Source organism: Homo sapiens, chromosome 6, assembly GCF_000001405.40.
Source record: "Homo sapiens chromosome 6, GRCh38.p14 Primary Assembly".
In the NCBI taxonomy this organism is placed as follows: domain Eukaryota; kingdom Metazoa; phylum Chordata; class Mammalia; order Primates; family Hominidae; genus Homo; species Homo sapiens.
Window position 1 is genome coordinate 169,664,738 of NC_000006.12, and position 26,136 is coordinate 169,690,873.

At 43.0% G+C, this 26,136-nt stretch overlaps 1 protein-coding gene across 29 annotated transcripts in view, besides 3 other annotated features; it reads right to left on the minus strand.

Moving 5' to 3' along the window:
* WDR27 (WD repeat domain 27) overlaps positions 1 to 26,136 on the minus strand; it is a 275,610-nt gene that overhangs the window by 238,318 nt on the left and 11,156 nt on the right. For 19 of the 29 annotated variants that reach the window (XR_007059231.1, XR_007059230.1, XR_007059233.1 and 16 more), the window contains exons 2-8: positions 24,390 to 24,571; positions 24,080 to 24,275; positions 7,518 to 7,659; positions 5,832 to 5,956; positions 3,245 to 3,448; positions 2,399 to 2,450; positions 749 to 819 (exon numbers count right to left, since the gene is read on the minus strand). Coding sequence is in view for 24 of the 29 variants with exons in the window: in XM_011535688.4 (XP_011533990.1) it covers positions 749 to 819; positions 2,399 to 2,450; positions 3,245 to 3,448; positions 5,832 to 5,956; positions 7,518 to 7,659; positions 24,080 to 24,268 (783 nt within the window). In the remaining 5 variants the exon portion in view is untranslated. The remainder of the gene's footprint in view (positions 1 to 748; positions 820 to 2,398; positions 2,451 to 3,244; positions 3,449 to 5,831; positions 5,957 to 7,517; positions 7,660 to 24,079; positions 24,276 to 24,389; positions 24,572 to 26,136) is intronic. The other 10 variants (NM_182552.5, XM_047418588.1, NM_001350623.2 and 7 more) reach the window with 8 other exon arrangements.
* Positions 2,225 to 2,413: a silencer, noted in NCBI's record as "fragment chr6:170067058-170067246 (GRCh37/hg19 assembly coordinates)". NCBI's record gives its function as "represses an EF-1alpha promoter that drives an FKBP-Casp9 reporter gene in an ReSE screen in phorbol 12-myristate 13-acetate-treated (for megakaryocytic differentiation) K562 erythroleukemia cells {active_cell/tissue: K562(+PMA)}" and the evidence as "EXISTENCE:reporter gene assay evidence [ECO:0000049][PMID:32094911]".
* Positions 2,757 to 3,257: an enhancer, noted in NCBI's record as "H3K4me1 hESC enhancer chr6:170067590-170068090 (GRCh37/hg19 assembly coordinates)". NCBI's record gives its function as "activates a minimal SCP1, AML or CMV promoter by ChIP-STARR-seq in primed H9 embryonic stem cells {active_cell/tissue: H9 hESC(primed)}" and the evidence as "EXISTENCE:reporter gene assay evidence [ECO:0000049][PMID:30033119]".
* Positions 3,258 to 3,758: an enhancer, noted in NCBI's record as "H3K4me1 hESC enhancer chr6:170068091-170068591 (GRCh37/hg19 assembly coordinates)". NCBI's record gives its function as "activates a minimal SCP1, AML or CMV promoter by ChIP-STARR-seq in primed H9 embryonic stem cells {active_cell/tissue: H9 hESC(primed)}" and the evidence as "EXISTENCE:reporter gene assay evidence [ECO:0000049][PMID:30033119]".

Sequence of the window (26,136 nt, forward strand, 5' to 3'; positions counted from 1 at the left end):
CAGGCTTTGTGAAATGAACTTAAAAGGCTCACCTAAAAAATGTTTTGAAAAAGGCCAACATCTTCAGGTTTTTCAACAGTGTGTAAAGATGACAGGAAAGGGGAGCACAAGAAGCACGGGGGATGCCACACAGGAGCCGTCCAGGGCGCCTCTCCGGGGCGCGGGCAGCGTGCGGGCACGGGGGATGCCACACAGGAGCCGTCCAGGGCGCCTCTCCGGGGCGCGGGCAGCGTGCGGGCACGGGGGATGCCACACAGGAGCCGTCCAGGGCGCCTCTCCGGGGCGCGGGCAGCGTGCGGGCACGGGGGATGCCACACAGGAGCCGTCCAGGGCGCCTCTCCGGGGCGCGGGCAGCGTGCGGGCACGGGGGATGCCACACAGGAGCCGTCCAGGGCGCCTCTCCGGGGCGCGGGCAGCACCCGTGGGAGCGGGGGACGTCTGCTCACAGCCCTCTTCTCAGCAGGTTTTCAGGGTCACGTGAGTGGCCCTCACTTTTGCTGCACTCCAGAACCACGCATGGAGCTCTGGGACATGCAGACCCAGCTCCTCCGCAGACCAGGGGGCCCAGGACCATATTGAACCCACAGTGACGCTGAGACCCACAGAAGGTCACGTTCTCAGCACTGAGGTGGACAGGTTTTTTCAAATCGCAGGAAAATACAAAGTAGCATGAAGACAAAGACCTTTGTGTACAAGCTCACGTTCAGGCATGTCTGGGAACTGGAACTTAACTCTGTGGCTGTCTCACCTGGCCGTCAGCACACCCGGTGACCAGCTGCCTGCTTTCTGCATCAATGAATAAACTGAGAAGAGGATATGCTGGTGAAAGGAACATCGGAAAATTTAGCTTTGTAAGTGCCTGGTACCAATTAACCCGAGAACTGTCAGTTTTACTTATCTCTTTACACGTAATATTTACTTACAGTATTTCTGTTAGTCAAGTTTGAACTATTCCAAAATAATTTCTTCACCAAAAAGTAAAACTTGCACATGAATACAAATGTTGAAAACCCCATAAACACAATGAAGGCTGGGGACATCACCCCAAAAGGCTGCCCGGTGAGTCCACCACAGATGGGTCCCGAGGAATCCCATCCCACCTCCCGACAGAAGGCCTGGTGGGCTTAAACCACGGCCCAGCTCCGGCTGCTTTATAGCCTAGAGGGAGGGCAGCACTGCCGTTTAATCGACGTTGCACTTGGAGCAGAAGGATTCCTGAGTCAGCCAGAAATAATAAAATTATGGACTTAGTGATGAAAACAGCAAGTAAATGGATGTCTTGTTTCCTTAAAAAAAAATTGTTGCCTAGGATGTCATTTCATTTAAAACTTACTCTAAACTGTCAGTAATTTAGGAGCATTAGATAAATGAATATTGAAAAATACTACATATCCTAATTAAACTATAAATGAAATCAAAGATCAAGTGTATCATTGTTCTTGGCAACCGAACAGTAATTCCATATAATTAATTTCAGAAAAAAGATTCCAACGTACTTCCAAGAAATGTGCTTCACCCTGATAGAAAGCAATGTTTTTAAGTCATTACAGCACCATAGTCCACACATGGATACATTAACCTCAGAAAGAATGTTAAATCTTTGAGAAGATATAACAATAACTCTACCAGGTCACCAAAGTATCTGTATATGCTTTAAGTGGCATTTTCATGTCACTTACCGCATGGAAGAACGCTCTCCTTTTAATTCCCTAACTCTCTTCTTCTGGGAAGACAGAACGTGCACAAGGGGAGCAAAGCGAATGCAGGAAACCAGTGCCCTAAGATGCCAGGAGGACAAGCACAGGGGCTGCACGGGAGAGGTGCTGGGGCGTCACAGACCGCTCCTTATGCCGTGCTCCGCGGACGGACGCCTGCACCATCAATGCTGTAGCTGTGTGGCCGTGTGCCAGCTTCATTTACCAACAGAAAGCCATCTGAGGGAAGAACGCAAGGACCCTGGCATTCACGAGCTGCACACGTGCTCAGGACCTGACCATGAGGCCAGGTGTGGCGCACGCCCAAGCTCACGCTGGATGGACAGGGCAGTCCTGGCCCTACCAACACCGCTGGTTCTGGGATGTGTTTCTACAGAGAGCAGAAGGCTCAACTTCCCTGGGTACTCAGGCATTTTATCTGACAGCAAACGTGCTTTACTCCTCCAAAACAGAAAGGCCCAGACTCCAAGCATCCATTTAATTTTAAGTGAAAAACATCAAGGACATTCACTGTTAAGTGAATCCTCTCCCTGTGTGGACGGGAGTGAAGGGCTGTAAGTCTGAGATTGCCTCATTCAGATCCACTCGAATGTCCCAGCTCCATCTTATGCCCTGTAATATGCTCTAGAAAAAGTGGGTTACACACAACCTATTTACAGAAAACATGAAAGTTTTAAATTTACCTGATAACACAGATGAACTGTATATTAATGATCCTGTACAATGGTCCCAGACCTTTGGATAAACACAGGATTCTTTAGAAGAGGTAACAACGTTGCCATTATTGCAACAGGTGAAGCTAACAGTACTATTCACTATCAGATTAGTCAACACAAATGGTTATCTAAAACAGAAAACAATAAAATGAGCACAAAAATAATAAAAATGTAGTAACACCATAAAATATGTCAGAATCAAAAAGAAAAAAATAACATCACTTCCATAAATAAAACCCTGGTGGATTTGAAGAATTGGAAACAAAAATGAAACAAGGTGAAAAACAGTTCCCAGGCACTTGGTCAACGCTGCCAAGATAGAGGCACCAAGCGGAAACTGTAGCAGTCTACACCCTGTCAGGTCAGGTGCACACTCGCTGGTCAGGTCTACACTGTCAGGCGCACACTGATGTCAGCTGGATAAAAACTGAATTCGCATTCCATTTTCTTCTAGAGCCTCATTTTGTGCCGACTGAACCCTCCACACCCTGGGACTGGCTCTTCTGCTCTGGGCCTGGGAATGCCGTGGAGAAGAATTCGTGCCTGGGCGCTCCCAGGCCCTGAATGCAGTTGTGGGAAATCCGGGGCCGCAGAACCGTCCTGTCAGGAATCCAAGCCCAGCCAGCGGCCCCGGCAAAACATCCGGGCTTGGCGTTTCTGTGGAAATCAGGATAGCGGGCGCCTTGCAGAAGTGAGGTAGAAACAACATCACTCAGGCGGCCGTGGCCGTGAAGCAACCGCACAGCTCCCGTCACCACAGTTCTTTCCACAGCACGTGCCACGCGGGAACGCCATCCAGCGTCCATCCCTCACCTTAAAGCCTCTGTCCTCAGACGCCGAGATGAGGGTGCCTGCTCGCCAGGGACAGAACTCCACCGCAGTCACCGGGCCCAGGTGGCCCTGCAGCTCGGCCCGAACAGCCTGAGTCTGAGAGAATGTGTGCAGGAAGGTCGGTGGTGGGACTTTGTGGCGGTTATTAACATCAGGACGTTCTATGTATGTCACAGAAAATCGCTGCTATTAAAATAAAGCCCAAATTATTCCTCTGTTCAAGCTGGAATTCTCTGTATATAAACCAAGGGTGAAAAGTCAGGTGTCTGAGCTAAGAGGAAAGCTCAGGCGACAGGCACAGTCTCAGCAGTGTTAAAAGCCGACACTGACTGGAGCTAACCCTGAGCGAATTAGGAAGCTGGCGTCTCCTCAGGAATCCTGTCTCCCCACCGGCTGCCCCATGCATCTGCCCTGAGGCTCCCCGCCTGTAACTCAGAATGTACTGCTCTGCCTTCCCAATCCCTCAGCATCTGTTCTCCACCTAGGGCTTCCTACAAGACAAGACGGTGCGGCAATAGGCGCTCATGAGTTACCCTTTCCTCCTCAAGTCCCTAAAACCTCCGACAGCCAAGACAGCACCCCAGAAGTCAGCGTCACAAGCTGGAGACACACAGGGCTTCCCGTTTATATGGAAATCAGGCTTGAACAGCATGACTGAGGAATGGAGTAGTGAGAGCATCGGGGGTTCCTAATGGTCAGTCATCGCCCTGAGAATATCCCCAGGGAACTCCAGGCACGAAGTGCTGGGCACTGTTCTTGAATTTTACAGCACTCCATCTAAATAAGACAAATATCCCTTAATATACATGCAGAAAAAATAAACATGTATATATATGGTGACTTAACTTACAAACAGACATTTAACTCTGGAAGACTTTCTTTAGTAATACGACATATCGCCATCAACAAATACAACTTAGAATACTGAGTACATTATGCCAGTTACCATCAGATTGTTAAAAATAAAAGGCAAGACTATAACCTGTGTAGGAATAGGGAGAGTTATGACACTGAGTGTTATGAAATATACATTTCCATTTTCTCCAGTTTCTATAAAATAAAGCTAGTCCATTGTCTATGATATGAATAACATCATATCCTGAAAAATATTTAAGTTATTTCCTTTTGACATTTTATGTTGATTAAAAAGTGCCTTTTACCAGGAAATGCTCAGTATTCATTTGAAATCTTTAAAATCAAATGGTATAAACTGTTGACTTGTTGAGTATGCTGTTAAAAGAATGTGAGCACTTCACGGACTCACGTGACAACCATTCCTCATGTCTGAAAGTCATTCTCCCCGAGTGAAGTGTCTTTCAGTTGACACGCCTGCTGCTAAGGAAGCGTGGGGAGGATCTCACGGGCTGCACACACATCTGCAGCAGGCACCTGCTTACTCACCTGCTATGTGCCTGACTCAGGGGTGTGGCTCCAACCTGACCCCAGGCTGATGGTTCTCTCCATCTGGGACCCAGTATCTTCCTTCAAACACTAACAGTTTTCTGCTTCTTCCTAATTCACTTTGGTTTTCCTTTTCCTGACACAACAATGTTAATTCTTTGCACATTAATGGTAGTTTTGTTATAAATGGTGGGGTGGCCTAATGTTAATCTATCACAGGATGTTTACAACAAAACATGAAATACAGCTCAAACACCAACATATCCAGAAAGCTTTCACAGACAGACTAGAAATAGTGTGAAGCCCTTTACCTAACTCCTAGATACTTCCCATCATCTCTCTGTGGCTTAACTCATGATGTGAACTTTTTAAATTTATGAGCCTTAATTTCATAATTAGTCCAAAAATAGTCTGAAGACATAAATGTCTTCTCTCCCAAAACGCCTATTACACATGAGGCCCATGAGAACCAATTCACATTCCATGCCGAACATCCTTCCTCGCCTACGTTTATTAAGTGGCTATCAAAAGAAAAGCTATTCAGGCCAACAGCTTTGTGAGCCATGTTGACAAAACGACCCCAGGCCTGGGGTCACCTACAAAATCAGGCTTGGGCAGAGCAACAATTCAGAGGAAACAAAAGTCCTCCTTCGTGTTCCCTTAGATTCCCACTTCCTGATTTCTAACACTGCTTTCTAACATTGCAATGGGGCAGCTGACTGTTCTAGTCACACACGAGGTCGAAATCACACAGGCAGGAAGAGGTGACACATTTCCTTTAACTAACCCTGGTGGGAAAAGTCTGATTCTTGATGAAAAGAACATTTTGATAAAAGATATAAACAAAAGCGCTATGCTAGGAAGGATGCCTACAATCAGGGAATATCTGAGAAATAATAGTTTTGCAGAACATGTTTCTCTAAAGTCATACCTGACACCCAGATTCCATAAAGAGTTTTAATATTTATATAAATATTGCTATCTGATACCAGTGGTTTTCCAATTGCAAGATAAAGATATGATTTTATAAAAGTAAACTAAATTGAAGATATAGCTTAAAAAAAAAGGAGTACAGGAAAAAAGAAAAGACCGCTGGGCAAGGTCCCAGAACCTGGGAGGCCCCATCAGCTAAACCCTTCCGTGAAATCCACGTGAATTTCAATCTTACCTCAATATCCAGCATGAATATTTTGTTTCCAGCACACACGGCAACAACATGATCATCCAGGCTCAACTGTAAACACAGCACCTTTCCCAAAAGCGAGCCCATGACAGTCCCTCGAGGGACCAGCCCTAGAGTGAGTTTCACCATTAGTGCCAGTTTACCAAATGCATTCAGCATTACATTAATCTGAGAAAAGTACTGAGAATGTAACCCTCTATTCTAAAATTACTGAGAGAATGACAATGAGCTTTGATGTGATTTTGATTCTTTAAGAATATCAAAAATACTGGATATACAGAAGTCTTCTGAAAACCTGGGGAATGCAGCACTTCCCTGCAGAGACTCTCTCAGCATCGAAACACGAAGATGCCTTTCTCTGGAGGCTGCAGTACCTGTGCAGTGAGAATCATGCACATCAAACTGCATGTTTCGATGCTTCTCACCCACATCCAACCCCATGTCCACCCTCATGTATAGGTTCAGCTAACATTGATTGGAAGGAAAGGAGTAGGAGCCTATCCAACCCAGGCCTCCAGGGACTAAGCAATGACAGGACACCCACAAGCAGCCAGGAGGTTCCCAAGACCCGGACATGTGCAGCAGCTGCAGCCTGATGCAGAGCCCGTCATGCAAATCCACACAGGTGAAAGAAAAAATGGCAGGCAAGGTCATCTGGTCCTAGTGTGTACCATGGACCTATCACCAGCAAAATGCAGATATACTCCACCCAGAGCCTGTGAGAGACACATGTGCTCATGTCCCACAGCCACCAAGTCTAGACAGAGACACGTGCTCATGTCCCACAGGCACCCGGAGCCTAGAGAGACACACATGTTCATGTCCCACAGCCACCCAGTCTAGAGAGGGACACGTACTCATGTCCCTACATAGAATACATAGATTTATAGTCTCTTTGCATTTATGTTTTAATGTAATCCTCTAACTTCTCTATATAATTGCACAAAACTCAAATTCCTTAACGTGGTCCCCACCTAACTTTTCGACTTCCTCAGATGAGACTCTCCTAACATCAGCATGCTCCAAGCACACAGGCAGGTTCTCACTCTTCCCAGGGCCTTGGCACCTTCATCCCTTCTCACCCTCACCCTCAGCGCACATGCCCCTCCGAGATCCTGCTTCTCAAAGGCTCCCATGCATGTGCACGCTGCCCTGGCCTCATCTGCCTTCTCCTCTGCACACTCACAATTCACAGCCACTCAGTCGCTGGCTTACACAGTGTCTCTCTCAAACTCTGAGCTGTGACTTCCACAGGATTTGGGACCAAGCCCTTCCTATTCACCACTGTGTCTCCAGCCTGAAATATTACAGGTGCTCAAGACCCCTTGCTGTGCAAGGAAAGAATATTTCAACTTTCCTACATGTTTTCAGGTTGATACAAAATGGACAGTTCTTAAAATAAAAAGGGACATAAGATCAAAACCAATGAGCCTATAAGATCAGCATAACAGACAGCAAAGGTCCGTAAGTCTGAATGGCCTGGGGCCCTTCCCATATAAAGCGCCTGCTTGCATGCCTGGGTTCAAGGTAAAGAGAGTACAAAATTATCCCAAACCCCCCGAGGGACTGCTGTTACCCAAGGGAAACACCCCTTGGGTGGTACCAAGTATACTGAAGGATGAGTTATTCCTTTTGCAGGTTTTTAAAAACATGTTTTAGATTTTCATTTACCTTGAAGTACTTTCTCTCTACATTCATCCAGGTTCCACATTATAACATAATCCAGTGATGCTGAGCAGATTAGAAGTGGGTTCACTTTATTTCCAAAAGCCATAGCAGTAATTGGCTGATGGTGTCCTCGTAGGATTAGAAGCTGGGAAAATTAACAAAAATAAAACACAGATCACAGACATTTAAAAATAAGAGTATAACAACATAACTTCAAACCTAAGAAATTAAAAGATTGAGTTTTTCAAATACATTTATCTTACATATTCATTGTTAATTCATTTGTTAAAATCCCTGCTATGTACTACTAAATTATTCTCTCAAGTTAACCATTTCACTGCTATTCACTGTCACACACACTAATAAAAAGATACAGGCTACCTCGTTCTTCCATTTATCACTTATTAGTTAATCAAATATAGAACATGTCTCCACCACATGCCAGAAGAGGTAACAGCTGAGCTGAAAACTGAAGAATAAGGAGAGGAATGAGGGGAGCAATGAGGTCCCTGGGAAAACAAGGCATGGGTAAGAAACGGCTGGGACAAGCAAAGGAGTGAGAGGAGGCTGGAGAAAGGTGAGGCCCAGGTGTGGCGACCTTGGCAACTACACAAGGAATGTTGATAGCACTCTAGGAAATTAAAATCCAACAAAAAATGCACAGTCAGAATAATACAGTGACTAGATTTGTTTTCCAGGAACAAAACATTGCTACAAGTATGGAGCAGACGAGTGTTGGGGGTATACTGGGCTGGAGAGACAGAAGGGAATGCATGAAACACTCAAGGGAAATCCAATAAAGACCTGGACTAAGAAAGACAGTGATGATGGAGATGGAGAGGAGATGGTGACTGAAGATTCCGTGACCAATGGATATGGAGGGATGGAGGGAAAAACAAAAGCAAAGGGATAGGGTTTGAGGTTAAAAACCTAGGCGAACAATGTCTCAAGAACAAAATACAGAGGGAAAATGGGATGGGACTGGGGGTCCATAGTAAGCTGAGATGCTTATAAGGCGATGTTAAATAGACAACAGGCAGTTTAATATGAGAGATATCACTGGAGAATTCCACTTCTAGTAAAGGCAGGATACGTCACCTCATTAGTACCAATCCTACTGATGAGAATTACAAGAAAAACTGGACAAAATTAAATATATATATACACACACACACACTATATATATATACAAACACACACACATATACATATACACACAGAGAGACACACATTTTGAAGGCATCAGAAAGCAACTAGGTCGTTGAAGAATTATGGTAACAAGATTATATATAGGGCAGAAAAAAACTGAGGGAAGTGACCCCAGATGCTGGGGTCACTTGTCCCATAAAGATATCTACTATAAAGACAATTTTCTGACAATTCCACTAAAGGCAGCTGAGGAGCTGAGATTCAAGGGGCTACGGGCACAAAAATGGTGTAATTAAATGAGTCATCCTCAGGGACACAAACAGAACTATCATATTGGGAGAAGGGAAAAGATTTCTGTCATATTACAAAGTAATTTTGTGATACAGCTGATTGCCTTAATGTTGATAACTCTACAATTTTTTTCCGTAAAGAAATATGAATGGATTTTAAGTAAATGTCTGCCTAGAATACAATCTACTAAGGTGAGAGGGATGAGCATGCTGCTAAACCCCCTAGGCTTAGAATGGGAACCCCAAAAAAGACAAAACCCAAGGAGTAAAGATGAACTGGAAATAAAACAACCCTCATAAGAACTGACACCCAGTTATGAATTGACTTAACACCTGACTGGCTTAGGGTAATCTAGGACTGCCAGTGCCCTGAGCATGACTGGCTACCAGAAGCTAACATAAATCTGATTTGGAAGAATGTAAGAATCCAGAGTATCAAATCAGCTATACTTTTTTTTCATATACAAAATCCAGCAATCTAAAAAACAACCAGGTATTCAAGGAGACAAGACCATTTAGTCAAAAACAAAGAAAAATAAAGAATAGAGAAATGCGATGCCTACAAGTCATCCAGATAAGACTTGAAACCAAACTAAAACTGATCCAAATGTTAGAATTACTAGACAAGAACATTCAAACCATTATTAAAACATTTTCCATATGTTCAAAAGTTAAGTAGAGGCATAGAAGATATTTAAAAGTCCCAAACCTAACTTCTGGAGATGAAAACTAGAATAAGATAAAATTTTAAAAAACACTTAGTGGGATTAACTGCATATTAGATGTTGCTGAGGAAAAGATTGGTAAATTTAAAGACAAAGCAATAGAAGCTATATAAAAATGAAAGAGAGAAAAAATACATTCATAACCATGAAAGAGTATCAGTGAGCTGTGGGAAACTTCACGTGACCTGACATACATGTAAGCAGGGTCCACAACGTTTGGGAGGAGGGGAATATTTGAAGAAATAATGGCTGAAAATTTTCCAAATTTTGATGAAAACCATAAACCCGTAGAACCCCAATGATAAAGTTTGGATGTCCCCTCTTTCATGCGCGTCCATGTGAAGAGACCACCAAACAGGCTTTGTGTGAGCAATAAAGCTTTTAATCACCTGGGTGCAGGCGGGCTGAGTCCGAAAAGAGAGTTAGCAAAGGGCAATGGGGTGGGGTTTTATAGGATTTGGGTAGGTAAAGGAAAAAGGGGAGTTGTTCTCTGGCGGGCAGGAGTAGGGGTCACAAAGTACTCAGTGGGGGAGCTTTTGAGCCAGGATGAGCCAGGAGAAGGAATTTCACAAGACAATGTCATCAGTTAAGGCGGGAACAGGCCATTTTCACTTCTTTTGTGGTGGAATGTCATCAGTTAAGGCAGGAACCAGCCATCTGGATGTGTACATGCAGGTCACAGGGGATATGATGGCCGAGCTTGGGCTCAGAGGCCTGACACCCTCCAAATCCCACGTTGAGATGTAATCCCCAGTGTTGGCGGTAGGGCCTGCTGGGAGGTGTATGGGTCATGGGGGCAGATCCCTCATGGCATGGTGCCATCCTCACCATGGTGAGTTCTCATGAGATCTGATCATTTAAAAGTGTGTGGTACCTCCCCCCATGCCTTGCTCCTGTTTTTGCCATATGACATGCCTGTTTTCCCTTTGCCTTCCACCATGATTGTAAGGTTCCTGAGGCCCTCACCAGAAGCCAAGCATTTGTTGGTGCCATGCTTGTGTCGACAAAAGAGTCGAACTTTGTAAAATATTTTAAGAGATTTATTCTGAACCAAATATGAGTGACCATGGTCCATGACACAGCCCTCAGGAGGTCCTGAGAACATGTACCCAAGGTGGTTGGGGTACAGCTTGGTTTTATGTACTTTAGGGAGGCATGAGACATCAATCAAATACACTTAAGAAATACATTGGTTTCGTTCAGAAAGGCGGGACAACTCAAAGCGGGGGCTTCCAGGCTATAGGTAAATTTAAACATTTTCTGGTTGACAATTGGTTGTTTATCTAAAGATCTGAGATCGATAGGAATATTCAGGTTAAGATAAAGGATTGTGGATACCATGTTTTATTGTGCAGAGGAAGCTCTCAGATAGACTTCAGAGACTGCAGGCTGTAAAATTTTTCTTATCGGACTTAAAAGGGTACTTGGCTCTTACTCAATTATCTCCTGGATCTGGGAAGGAATGAAGGAAAACAAAGGGAAAAGGGGATTCTCTATAGAATATGGATTTTTCCACAAGAGACTTTGCAAGGCAATTTCAAGGTATGGCAAGGAAATATATTTTGGGGTTGAATATTTTTTCCTTATCTCATAATGTTATGCCAGAGTCAGACTGAAAAGTAAGTCATGATATACGGGGTCAAATAAAACCCATCTAATCAGAATTTATGGTTTGTAGGGCATGACTCCCTAGGCCCCTTAGGTAGGAATTTGGGCAAGATAAAAAATCAGAGTTTAGTCCTCACTTGTGCAGCCTGCAGAACCATGAGCCAATTAAATCTCTTTTCTTTATAAATTACCCAGTCTCAGGTATTTTGTTATACTCAGGACTAAACTCTGACCTTTTTCTTCTCCTGTCCAAATTCCTATCTAAGGGGCTTAAGGATTCACACACTAAAAACCATAAAGTCTCATCAGAGGATTTTATTTAACCCTATATAACGTGGCTTACTTTCCAACCTAACTCTGGCATAACATCACATGACAGATAAAGAAGGGAATTAAAATATGTTAACTCCAATTATGTTTCTTTACCATATCTTGACATAGGCCTGCGAAGCTGTCTCTTGTGGGGAAAATCTACATTCTGCAGAAGATCCCCTTTCCTTTGTAGGCCTTTTTCCTGATCCAGAAGAGTAACCACTAAGACTCTGGCACTTTTTAAGTCTAATAAATATTTACAATCTATTCTCTCTGAAGCCTGCCACCTGGAGGCTTCTTATGTATATTGGGGACCTTGGTCTCCACGATCCGTTATCTTAACCCAGACATTCCTTCTATTGAGTCTAGGTCTTTAGACAATAACTTAACACTTTCAACCAATTGCAATTTAGAAAATTATCGAATCCACCTATGACCTGGAAGCCCCCACTTTGAACTGTCCCACCTTTCTGGACCTAAGCAATGTACATATTACATGTATTGATTGATGTCTTATGTCTCCCTAAATTGTATAAATCCAAGCTGTAGCCTGACCATCACGCACATGTTCTCAGGACCTCAAGACTGTGCCTTGGGCCTCTGGTCGCTCGTAGTTGACTCAGAATAAATCTCTTCAAATATTTTACAGACTTTGATGCTTTCATTGACATAGCAATTCATGAAAGGCCTAATACAGAAAATTGGTACCAAGAAGTGGGGCACTGCTATAAAGATACCTAAAAACGTGGAAGTGGCTTTGGACCTGAGTAACCAGCAGAAGTTGGAAGAGTTTGGAGGGCTCAGAGGAAGACGAGATGCTGAGGGAAACTTTGGAACTTCTTAGATACCAGTTAAATGACTGTGACCAAAACACTGATAGTGGTAAAGACAGTGAAGTCTAGGCTGAGGAAGTCTCAGATGGAAATGAACTTGCTGGGAACTGGAGCAAAGGTCACTCTTGTTATGCCACAGCAAAGAGCTTGGCTACATTCTGTTCATGCCCTAGGGCTCTGTGGAAGCTTAAACTTGAGTGATGGCCTAGTGTACCTGAAGGAAGAAATTTCTAATCAGCAAAGCATGTAAGATGTCTCCTGGATGCTTCTAACAACATACAATCATAAATGGGAGCAAAGAAATGCCATACAGTTGGAATTTATATTTAAAAGGAAAGCAGAGCATAAAAGTTCAGAAAATTTGCAGCCCAGCCATGTGGCAAAAAGTAACTGTTTTTGGTGAGAGGAATTCAAGCAGGCTGTGGAGCAACCATTTACTTAAGATATTTGTGTAACTAAAAAAAGAACCAAAGGCTGATAACCAAGGCAATGGGAAAGGCCTCCAAGACATTCCAGATATCTCCAAGGCAGTCCCTCCCATTACAGGCCCTGAAGTCTAGGAGGAAAGAATGGTTTTGACGGCCAGGGCCTGCTGCCCCACACAGCCTCAGGACACTGCTCCCGTCTCCAGCTCTGGCCTCAGCTCAGAGGACCCCAGATACAGCTTGGGCTGCTGTTTCAGAGGGTGCAAGCCACAGGCCTTGGTGGTTTCCATGTGGTATTAAGCCTGCGGGTGCACAGAGTACAAGAGTAAAGGAGGCTTAGCAGCCTCCAGCTAGGTTTCAGAGGATTTGTGAGAATGCCTGGGTGCCAAGGCAGAAGCCTGCTGCAGGAGTGGAGCCTTCACAGAGAGCTTCTACTAGGGCAGTGCCAATGCCAAGGGGAAATGTGGAGTTGGAGCCCCCACACAGAGTCCCCACTGAGGCACTGCCTACTAGAGCTGTGAGAAGAGGGGCACCATCATCCAGACCCCAGGATGGCAGATATTCCAGCAGCTTACACCCTGCTCCTAGAAAAGCCGTAGGCACTCAGCAACCAGTGAAAGCAGCCACAAGGGCTGAACCTTGCAAAGCCACAGGGACAGAGCTGCCCCAGGCCTTGGGAGTCCACCCCTTGTACCAGTGTGCTCTGGATGTGGGACACAGAGTCAATAGAGATAATTTTGGAGCTTTATGATTTAATGACTGTCCTGCTGGGTTTCAGACTTGCATGGGGCCTATAGCTCCTCTCTTTTGGCCAATTTCTCCCTTTGGAAATGGGAATGTTTATCCAATGCCTATAATCCCTTTGTATATTGGGAGTAAATAACTTGTTTTTTATTTTACAGGCTCATAGGTGGAAGGAACTTGCCTTGTCTCAGATGAAACTTTGGACTTAGGACTTGGGACTTTTGATTGAGTTGATGCTGGAACAAGTTAAGGCTGAGGATTAAGCTCTGATTTTTTTTTATCTTGCCCAAATTCCTTTCTAAGGGGTCTGGGGAGTCATGCCCTACCAACCATAAATTCTCAGCAGATGAGTTTTATTTGACCCTTTCTATCGTGGCTGACTTTCCAATCTGACTCTGGCATAACAAGGAAGAAAATCAAAATGTTTTACCTCAAAATATATTTCCTTGCCATACCTTGAAATTGTCCTGCAAAGTCTCTTGTGGTAAAAATCCACATTCTATAGAGAAACCCCTTTTCCCTTTGTTTTCCTTCCTTCCTTTCCAGATCCAGGAGATAATCAACTAAGAGCCAGGCACCCTTTTTAAGTCCAAAAAGAAACAATTTACAACCTGCTCTCTCTGAAGTCTGCTATCTGAGAGCTTACTCTGCAGAGTAAAACATGGTCTCCACAATCCTTTAGCTTAACCTGAACATTCCTTTCTATCGATCTCAGATCTTTAGATAAACTCAACCAACTGTCAACCAGAAAATGTTTAAATTTACCTATAGCCTGGAAGCCCCCGCTTTGAGTGGTCTCGCCTTTCTGAATGAAATCAATGTATTTCTTAAGTGTATTTGATTGATGTCTCATGCCTCCCTGAAATATATAAAATGAAGCTGTGCCCTGACCACCTTGGGCACACGTTCTCAGGACCTCCTGAGGGCTATGTCACAGGCCATGGTCACTCATACTTGGCTCAAAATAAATCTCTTAAAATATTTTACAAAGTTTGACTCTTTTCGTCGACAAGACTTTGGGGGACTGTTGGAAAGACATGATTATATTTTGCAATGTGAGAAGGACATAAAATGTAGGGGACCAGGAGTAGAATGATATAGTCTGCATGTCCCCTGCAAATCTCATGTGGAGATGTAATCCCCAGTGTTGGAGGTGGGGTCTGGTGGGAGGTGTTTGGGTCATGCCGGCTGATCCCTCATGGCTTAATGCTGTCCTCACCACAGTGAGTGAGTTCTCATGAAATCTGGTCATTTAAAAGTGTATGGCACCTCCTCCTGACCACTTGTTCCTGTTTTCACCCTGTGAAGTACCTGCTCCCTCTTCACCTTCTGCCATGACTGTAAGGTTCCTGCAGTCCTAATTAAAAGCAAAGCAGACGTTGGTGTCATGCTTGTACAGTCTGCAGAACCATGAGCCAATTAAATCTCTTTTCTTTATAAATTATCCAGTCTCAGGTATTTCTTTATAGCAATACAGAAATGGCCTAATACATGCAAGAATGAGAAATATGAAGAAAAATACACCAAAACATAGCATGATCAAATTGTTCAAAATTGGTAACATAGGAAGTTTTAAAGGCAGCCAGACAAATATAACCCATTGTATACATGAGAACAAAGATAAAGATAATAACAGAATTCTCATTGAAATGATAGAAGAGCAACATATTAAAAACCTGAAGAAAAATCTGTCAAACTAGAATTCTCTACTCAATATAAATGCCTTTCAAAAACAAGGCAAAATAAAAACTTTTTTAAACACACAAAGGCTGAAATAATTTATCACCATATTTGCACTGAAACATATGTTAAATAAAATACTTCAGGCAGAAGGAAAATGCTACCAGACGGAAACATGCATGTACACAAAGGAATGAAGAGCACCAAAAATATAATTACGTGGGTAGATGTGTAAGATATTTTTCCTTCTTAAATTTAAGAGCCTTAAAATTAAAAAAGAAAAGGCCAGGCGCAGTGGCTCACGCCTGTAATCCAAGTACTTTGGGAGGCCGAGGCAGGTGTATCACGAGGTCAGGAGATCGAGACCATCCTGGCTAACACGGTGAAACCCTGTCTCTACTAAAAATACAAAAAATTAGCGGGGCTTGGTGATGGCCGCCTGTAGTCCCAGCTACTCGGGAGGCTGAGGCAGGAGAATGACGTGAACCCGGGAGGCGGAGCTTGCAGTGAGCCAAGATTGCGCCACTGCACTCCAGCCTGGGTGACAGAGCAAGACTCCATCTCAAAAGAAAAAAGAAGATATTTTTCTTATTGTTTAAATATCTTTAAAAGATCCCTGAATGTTTAACAAAAGTAATAATGGATTGTCAGGTTTGTAGCATATGCAAAAGTAAAATGCATGACAACAAAAACATAAAAGTTGTGAGAGAGGAAATGAAAGAGATACAATGCTAACATTAACGAAAATAGAAAGTAGCCAAAGAAGATTTCAGAGCAAGAATATTACCAGGGATCAAAAAACAGTATCACTTTATAATAAATGAAGTCAGTTCAACAGGACATAAAATATACTAAACACATATGTGCTTAATAACAGAGTTTCAAAATACATAAAGTAAAAACTAATGGAAGACAGATAAGTTCACAGAGTCACAGATTTCAATATGCCTCTTTCAATAACTGACTGAACAACTGGACATGAAATCCTCAAGAATATAGAAGACTTGAAGAACACTATTAGCCACCTCAACCTAACTGACATTTATAAAACAAAAGACACAAACACAATTATTCCTAATAGTGTTACTTGCAATAGTCAAAAACTAAAAATAACCTAAATTCCCACCAATAGGAGAATGCATAAAGTATAGTATATCCATACAATGAATATTACTCAATAATAAAGAAGAATGAACTACTGAATGCAGGAACATGGATCTCAATTATCCTGAGTGAAGAAAGCCAGACAAAATGAGTAAGTATCGGACATCACCAAGCTGGTGAAATAGAAGCTAACCCACTCATATCTCCCGACAATAACAAAAATTCTGCACCCATCCATGGTCCAAAGTCTCTCTACAAGAGCCTCAGAATTCAGGTGGAAGTTGTGAAACCCCAGCAGAGCCAAGATCTTAGAAGGTCATTTTGAGAGTTGAGACCCACACCTAGGTGGCTGATTCACTAAGCGTGCTCGTAGCTTCAAGCCCAGAAATGGCCCAGTCCTCCAAGGGGCTTGGTTACCACCTCATTTGGCCTTGAGCCTGAAAACAAAACCAACAGCCAAAGGGTCTGGCAGGAATCACACACTCTACTAACTGATGGAAGGGCTCATCTGCCTGTTGACAATGGTCTAGGCAATGAACCTGAAAGCTGCCCTGTGGCTTCGCTCCAATTCCCTCATCTGAGGTCCCAGGTAAGAGCTGCTTACACAAAGACCCACAGGGAGACTTGCCCGTATCTTGCAACCTGGGAGTCTCAGCCCTCCCTGGCAGGCTCGCCACACTTCCTCCCATGACAGATCCTGAGGGTACCCAATCTCAGCTCTGGGCTCTTCTGCTGCACTCAGGGAACTATCCCATCTGTGCTGAGACCTGCTAGGAGATGCATGCTCCTCTGTGCCAACTAGACCTCTCTAGTCTCCCACCCACAGCAGATCATAAGGGGGCCCAGTCCCAGCTCCAACTCCTCCTGTTGAAATCGGGGAACTATCTCATCTCTGCAGGGACTTCCTCAGAGACATGCAACCCTCTGAATCAATGTGACCAGGCTCTCCAACCTCTGTCCCACAGCAGATCCCAGACGGGCCCAATCTCAGCTCCAGCCCATCCTGCTGCAGTTGGGAAACTATCTTATTGGCGCAGGGTCTCCCTGGGAGACAAATGACTCTCTGAGCCAACAAAATCAGCTCTCCAACCTCCATCCCACAGCAGATCCTGAAGGGACCCAGTCTCAGTTCTGGCCCCTCTCACTGCTGTTAGAAAACTATCCACGGACTCCCAATCTCAACTCCCATTCCTCACCTGTGCAGAGACCTGCTGGGTGACACACCTGTCTGGGCCACTAGGACAGCATTCTGGACTCAGGTGCCTGGTCAGCATTCCCACAGAGCCCCAGTACCCACGCTGAGTCCTACCCAGGTCCATCTGGGCCAGAAAGCTGTGTCAACCTCAGAGTTCTTGCAAGACTCGCAGCAATCCTGTGCTTAAAGCATCCTCTAATGCTGAGATGGCTGCAGTGGTCATGGGCTCAGGGAACTCAACAGTCAGTCTATGTAGAATCCCTGGAAGGCCCTCTGAAGAAGGACAGGCACAAACAAAGCCAGACTTACGAAGACTTAAATAAATACCTAATCCCTCAGTGCACAGACGTAACCACATGTCCACAAGCATCAGCAATGCTCAGGAAAATATGACCCCATCAAACAGACAAAATAAGTTGCGACAGACTGACCATAAAATAATGAATATGAGTGGTCCCTCAGACAAATCATTCAAAATAGCTGTTTTAAGGAATCTCAAGAAAATTTAGAAAAACAGAGAATCAACTCAGAAATCACCAAAGAAACTTAACAGAGATTAATTTTAAAAAAAATCAAAAATTTTGGAGCTAAATACAAATAATTAAATGAAAAATGCAATAGATAGCATCAACCACAGAATTCAGCAAACAGAAGAAAGAATCAGTGAGCTCAAAGACAGACTATTTGCAAATACACAGTCAGAGGAGAAAAAAGAAAATGAAAAGGAATGAAGAAGCTTATGGGAGCTATGAGACAACAAAAGAGCAAATATTCAGGTTATTAGAGTTAAAGAAGGAATTGAGGAAGACGAAGTGGTAGAAGGTTATTCAAAGAAATAACAGAAAACTTTCCAAACCTGGAGATATAAATATCTACGTACTGGAAGGTCAAAAGTTACCAATAAGATTCAACCCAAATAAAAATACCCAAAGATATATTATAATCAAACTTTCAAAGGTCAAAGACAAAGAGAGGATCTTGAAAGCAGTGAGATAAAATAAGTAAATAACATACAAGGGAGACCCAACATGCCTGGCAGCAGACTGTTCAGCAAAAACCTTACAGGCAAGAAGTGAGGGGAGGCAGTGATATATTCAGGGAAAGAAAAAAAATGCCAATCAAGCATACTGTACCTGGAGAAACTGACAACTAGACTAAGTGATATCAGCAAGACGGCTGACTAGAGACACCTGGCACTTGAGCCCCTCCAAAAGAAAAAAAAAAACAAGGCAATAAATAAAAAGCTAAGATTTGACTAGAGTGTGGAAGGAAGAGCACTGCAACACAGCAGGGGAAGTGATGATGCACCTGTGGTGACTGGAAGTCCAGGAGAGCAGCATAGAGGTACCTAGCCTCTGTAGCCCCAACTCCCCTGCCTGGGTCAAATCTGCCCAGCGTCAGATGGGACTTCCCCCTGCAAGGAAAAGGTAAGCAAAAGATCCCCAACCACCCACATCACCACCACAAACACCTGAAGTCTTTACAACAGGAGAATCCCACAGTCCCTGCAAGCCCTGAGCCTAGTTTGGGAGCTGCTGGAAATTCATGCTGTTGCATTACCCCAGATTAGGAGCACGAAGTGTGCACTCCTCACTCCCCACCCACCCTGTGAGCCAAAGCTGCTGTAGCACAGCACCATCTTGAGACCAGAGCTGCCTCTCCAACATGCCCTGCTCTGGGGGCCAGAAGTCACTGCCATTCTCCAGCCCTGGGGCTCCATCTTTACTATACCAAGCCCACATGAGTGGCTGAATGTCACAACCCCAGTTGCATGGAGCCTGGGACCAGGATCGGCTGTTGAGACTGGCCCTGCACAACAGAGAAACCAACCCTCGCCACTGCACTTCCAGCCAGAGAAACAACCCAGCACTCCTGCCAAGGACAAACCTGCCCTTGATTTAGCCAAACCATTGCACACCCTCCTCAAAGCAGGAGAGGCTCCTGAGACTCCTAACAGATGATTCACCCCTGGGCCAGCAGAGTTGCTAAACACCTGTGCTCAGGACCTGGGAAACACCCCTATGGCACCCCTGCCCCAAGAAGAAATACTTCTGGGCTGCCCAATGTCCCCGAGTCTCCAATAAAGGCCTGAGAAACAGTCTCACAGGCTGACTATGGCAAGCATGCTCCCAGGCCCAACAAACAGCTATGTGCCCATGTCTCAGACTCAAGAAAAAGACCCATGGGTTGCCTTTGGAGGCACATCACCAAGCGGGCTGAGCAGCCCTGTTCCCATGTCCTGGGCCTATAGTAGCCCTGTGCCCACACCCAGGAGACATACCCCCAGGTCAGCCAAGCAGCCATAAGCTGTGTGACTATGTCCTGGGACTGAGAAGCAGTCCTGTGGGTTTCCCCCAGCAGATATGCTCTCAGACAAATCCAGCAGCTGTGTGCCCACTTACAAAGCCTGAGAAACAGCTCTATGGGCCACCCCTAATGGGCATGCCCGCAGCCAGCTGAGCAGCCTTGTGCCTACGTCCAATGCTGGAGAAACAGCCCCAGGAGCTGCCCCAGCAGATATGTCCCCACGCTGGCCAAGCAACCATGTGCCCATGCTCCTGGCCACAATAACATCCCTGTGGCCCCAACCCCAGCAAGCCAGACCCCAAGTTGGCTGACCCTATGTGTACATGTGTACCCCCAACCTGAGAAATACCAGGTGAACCCATCCTTGGCAAAGCTACACAACCATCACCACAAATTCTCTTAGTCAAGGCCATTGAGAAACTCATAAATGCCACTAGTGTGGATTACAACAGAAGAAACCACACAGATACTACGCTACTACATCCACCTAGAATCAAGACCAAAAGACCCCACTAAACTGACACCCCAGGACCCATTCATACAAATAAATCCCTATGAAACGTGCTCCATATAATTGGAAGGTGCAACTTTCCCATCAGATGCTCTTAAATCAATGTCAGGACATATCAACCATGAAAATCAAAGAAAAAAAAAAGCCAAAAACAAACAACAACAACAAAAAGTCACCTCCAAAGGAAAACAACAATTTTCCAGTAACAGACACCAATCATAAGAAAATATATGAAATGTCAGAAAAAGAATTCAAAATAATAATTTTAAGGAAACTCACTGAGATTCAAGAGAATACAGATAGACAATTCAACAAAATCAGGAAAACAACTCATGATATGAATGAGAAATTCAACAAAGAAATAGGTATTATTTTAAAAAGAACCAAAGAGAAATCATAGAGTTAAAGAATTCAATGAATAAAATTTAAAAACATAATTGAGAGCTTTAACAACTAGATTAAGCAACTAGGCTTCATCACGCTGAAGAAAGAATTTCTGAACTTGAAGACAGGACTTTTGAAATAATACCAGCAGACAAAAAAAGAATAAAAAAGAATAAAGCCTATGTGATTTATGAGACTAAGCAAATAAATATTCATAATATGGGCATTCTAGCAGAAGAAGATAAGGGAGAAGGTGAGGAAGACATATTTAATAAATCATAGCAGAGAACGTCTCAAGTCTTGGGAAAGAGATGGAAATCCAGGTTCAGGAAGCTCGAATAACCAAATAGTTTCAAACCAAATAGGTCCTTTTAGAGGTACATTATAGTCAAATTGTCAAAATCGAAAGACAAAGAAAAAATTAAAGCAGCAAAAGCATCAAGTCACATATAAGGGAATCTCTATTTGACTAACAGCATATTTTTCAGCAGAAACCTTACAGTTCAGGAGAGAACTGGTTGCTATATTCAAAGTACTGAAAGAAAATAAACTTCCAGCCAAGAATATTATACCCAGCAAAGCTATTTTTAAGAAATGAAGGACAAATTAAATCTTCAGAGACAAAATTCAAGGAATTCATCACCACTAGACTGGTCTTACAAGAAATGCTCAAGGGAGTCTTTTATCCGGAAGGAGAAGGATGATATCCACCATCATGAAAACATGGAAAACTACAAAAGTCCCTTGTAGACCCAATACACAAAGGAGAAAGACAAAGGAATCAAACCTATAGAAAACCACCCAACTGAAAAAATAAACAGTAAGAGAAGAAGTAACGAACAAAAGATATACAACTAGAAAACAATCAATAAAATGACAGGAATGAGTACTTACCTATCAATAACCCTGAATGTAAATAAATAACATTCCCTATTAAAAGATATAGACTGGCTGAATAAAAAGAAAAATATGACCCAACTATATGTGGACTACGAGAAACTCATCTCACCAATAAAGACACACATAGTCTTAAAGTGAAGGGATGGAAAAATATATTCATGCAAATGGAAACCAAAAGCAAGCAGGAGTAGCTATACTTACATCAGATAAAACAGACATCAAGTTAAAAGCTGTACAAAGAGACAAGCAATACATTATATAATAATGCACTCCCATATTTATTGCAGCACTATCACAACAGCCAAAATATGGAATCAACCTAAGCATCCATCCACAGATAAATGGATAAAGAAATTTGGTACATATACACAATGGAATACTATTCTGCCATAAAAAAGACTGAAATCCTGTCATTTGCAGCAACATGGATGGAACTGGAGGTCATTATGTTAAATGAAATAAGCCAGGCACAGAAAGACAAATATCACATGTTCTTACTCATATGTGGAAACTTAAAAAGTGGATCTTGTGGAAGTGGGGAGTAGAATGGTGGTTACTAGAGGCTGGGAAGGGAATTGGGGAGAGTGAAAAGAAGTGAGAGAAGGGATAAAAAATACAGTTAGATAGTAAGAATAAGTTCTGGTATTCAAGAGTACAGTAGGAAAATTACAGTTAATAATAACTTATTATATAATTCAAAATAGCCAGAAGAAAAAAACTATAATGTTACCAACACAATAAAAAGATAAATGTTTGAGGTGATGGCCATCCCAATTATCCTGATTTGATCATAACACATTGTATACTTGTATCAAAATATTACATATACCCCCAAAATATGTACAACTATTACATGTCAATAAAAATTAAATTGCCATATGATTCTATTTACATAAAACTCTAGAAAATGCAAACTAAAGGGACAGAAAGCCTATATTTATAATATAAAGAACTCCTTCAAATCAATAGAAAAAAGACAGATAATCCAATAGAAAAAAATGGCAAGAGATTTGAAAACATATATCACAAAAAACAATATCTAAATGGCCAATAAATGTGCTAAACCTCTTTAATAATCACAGAATTACTAATTATAATTAGGTACCACTATGCCCTTTTCGAAAGGCTAAAATAAAAATAAACAAGTGTAGGTGAAGATATGGTTCAACTGAAAGTCACACACCATTAGAAGAAATACAGATTGGTACAACCAATTTGGAAATCTGCTTAGCATTATCTACTGAATATAGACATCCCTCACTATCATGAGGAATTGATTCCAGGAACCCCACATAAACCAAAATCTGTGTACACCCACATCCCACAGTTGGCTGTGTGGACTCCACATATATGAAAAGGTACCCCTCCAAATATGCAGTTTTCATATCCTGAAAATTCTATAGTTTTGACCCACATTGCGTTGAAAAAAATTCATGTATAAGTGAACCAGCACAGTTCAAACCCATGCTGTTCAAGAGTCAACTGCTTATGTATCCTTTACAACTCAGCAATTATGTGTGTGTGCACCAAAAGACATAGGAAAGAATCTAGCAGCCAAAAAACTGAAATACAACAAATGTCTACCAACAGAAGCATGGATAAAGTGTGGTCTACTTACATAAGTAGAATGTAATTCTATTTATCATTCTATAATAAAAAAGGATAAAGTGTCTATTTACATAAGTAGAATGTAATTCTACTTATTACTCTATAATAAAAATGTATTTTTATTTTAGCCTTTCAAAAACGGCACAGTGGTACCTAATAAATCCTAATACTGTGTAGCAATGAAAATGAACAACATGGATGAACCTCATAAACATGCTGATTAATCAAAGAAACCAGCACAAAAAAGTACGTAATGTATAATCACATTTATATAAAGTTCATCACAAGCAAAATTAACCTGTGGTATTAGAAGTCAAGATAGTGTTGCCTTTTGGGGAGGAGAGAAGTGGGCATTGACGGAGAAAAGGCATGATCTAGGGGTGGTTACCTGAACATATTCATTTAGTTATAGTCATTACAACATGCACTTATTATGTGGAACTTTTTTTTTCTAAGTAGTTTATACTTCACCGAAAAAGTGAGAAACGTCAATCTAAACATTCGAATGTAGGAGACTTGATTATGTTAAGATGAACCTTTTCAATCAGTTTCTTACTGAAGAAACTTATTAAATTAATTCCAAATCACTTGTGTTCTAAATATAAAAATATTATAAAATACATGAAAGTAAATTTAAAAATAAAAAAATATATATAATGTTTTTATCAATATTTTTCTCCTATAGTTGGTAGCTGAATCCACAGAGGGTAATGCTGTCCGAACAGCATCAAAGACATGGAGAGACAAGGGCAAGGCCTTCATGACACTGGACATGTAACTCGTTCAATACCTGATGAGAAGGATCCTTAGTGTTCCATATACAAAGTTCAGTTCCATCCAAAGGGAAAGCACAGTCCTGCATGCTGCAAGCAAGCTGAACATGAGACACAGACTCCTTGGATTCAACCAGGTATTTTTCTATAACTATATCACTTAGACAGCCACCATTACTTGAGAAAATGTCTTGGGGATTTTCCATCTTCAATCTGAAAACAAAAAGTACATATAAGATGACTATAGGTATCATATTTAATACAGAAAAAAAGTCTATTACCTACTGATAGTTACTAGTTTGACCACACACATATACCACATCATACCTATTTATTCACCTCTCCTCATCCCAAGAAAAAAGAAGAGAAATTGCCGAAAACTCTGGAGCTTCCACATTCTCAACTGCTCCATTCTTCTCACGGGCTTTCCAGTTAAGCAAACCTTGACTCAAATACCACTATTCCCACTTCACAGAGCCTGCTTAGGCTTCCTCGATCAGCTTCCACAACTGTCAAATGAGAACAGTTACTGAGAGGCAAAGACTAAACAATGATCCATGTGGCATGGGTGCAGCGCTGTGGCACTTAGCGTTCTAAACGTTGGTTACTGAAATGACTAAGACACAAAGTTATTTTCTGAATTGACCACAGCAAATCAGTTGTTAGGAAACTGCAATTGGAACCCGCATCTCCCATAACTAACCTGGGCTTGATTCAACAATTTCACAACACTGTATGTAATTACAGTTAAGCTACCACAGGTTCTATAATCAGTGATTCACTGGCTATGTTTCGTAAAGCATAAACTAATGAAACACTGACAAAGATAAAATGTTTCAGATCTTCATCCAACTTTACACTTAACTTCACAGCATAATCACTTCAGAAACATGTGGGAATGGCACTGGGGTCATCCTTGATTCTGTTGTACCCCACACCCCACTGCAGGCCGGCAATAGATGCACCTGAAGGCACAGACAACAGACCTGCTTAGAAAGTGATGGGCAAGCACCCAAATATCCAGTGGGGTCATGCACGCTGTAGGTATTCAAAGGCCCACCCATGAGGCCCTCACACTGGTCACGTGGATTCAGAGGATCCACCCATGTGGCGCTCATGCTGGTCATGTGGATTCAGAGGATCCACCCATGCGGCCCTCATGCTGGTCATGTGGATTCACAGGATCCACCCGTGAGGCCCTCATGCTGGTCATGTGAATTCAGAGGATCCACCCATGAGGCCCTCATGCTGGTCATGTGGATTCAAAGGATCCACCCATTAGGCCCTCATGCTGGTCATATGGATTCAGAGGATCCAACCATGAGGCCCTCATGCTGGTCATGTGGATTCAAAGGATCCACCCATTAGGCCCTCATGCTGGTCATATGGATTCAGAGGATCCACCCATGAGGCCCTCATGCTGGTCATGTGGATTCAAAGGATACACCCATGCAGCCATCACACTGGTCACGTGGATTCGAAAAATCCACCCGTGTGCTCCTCATGCTGGCCCTGAGAGATTCTGCTAACCCAGCCTCTGCCTTTCTCTTCCTCTTCTCCAGCTCCTCCCTCCACTGCTACTCTATTTACTCTTTCTTCCAGCTCTTACAACACAGCAGGGCTTTTACTGCCTCAGCACGCACACTTTATCTTCATGTTCCATTCCTCCTCATCTCTGCACCTTGGGAGCTCTTCCCATTCTCCAGGTCTCAGCAGAGGCCCCTGAGAGCTGGCTCCCATCCCTGCCCCCCTACCCCATCCACCTCCTTCCCAGCACTTCACACAATCTAAACTATTTTGCCCTTAGGAGGCAGCAGGACATGGATCCATGGCCAGACTGATAGGATGGAATCCTTTGTCTGAAGGACCCTTGATCAGACAGGAATTGCATAGAAAGAAAGAGCACTGTAGGGTGCTACTCATCAGCAGGACCTTCCGCTGCCTGCCTCCCAGCCCCTTGACTGAGAAGTCTGACATTCCAGTGCAAGGTGTGACCGTTCAGTACCACCTCTGTGCTGCGGGCGGGGCAGCAGTAACAATTTCCTGTGTGCAGGGGGGAGCAGAATTTCACAAG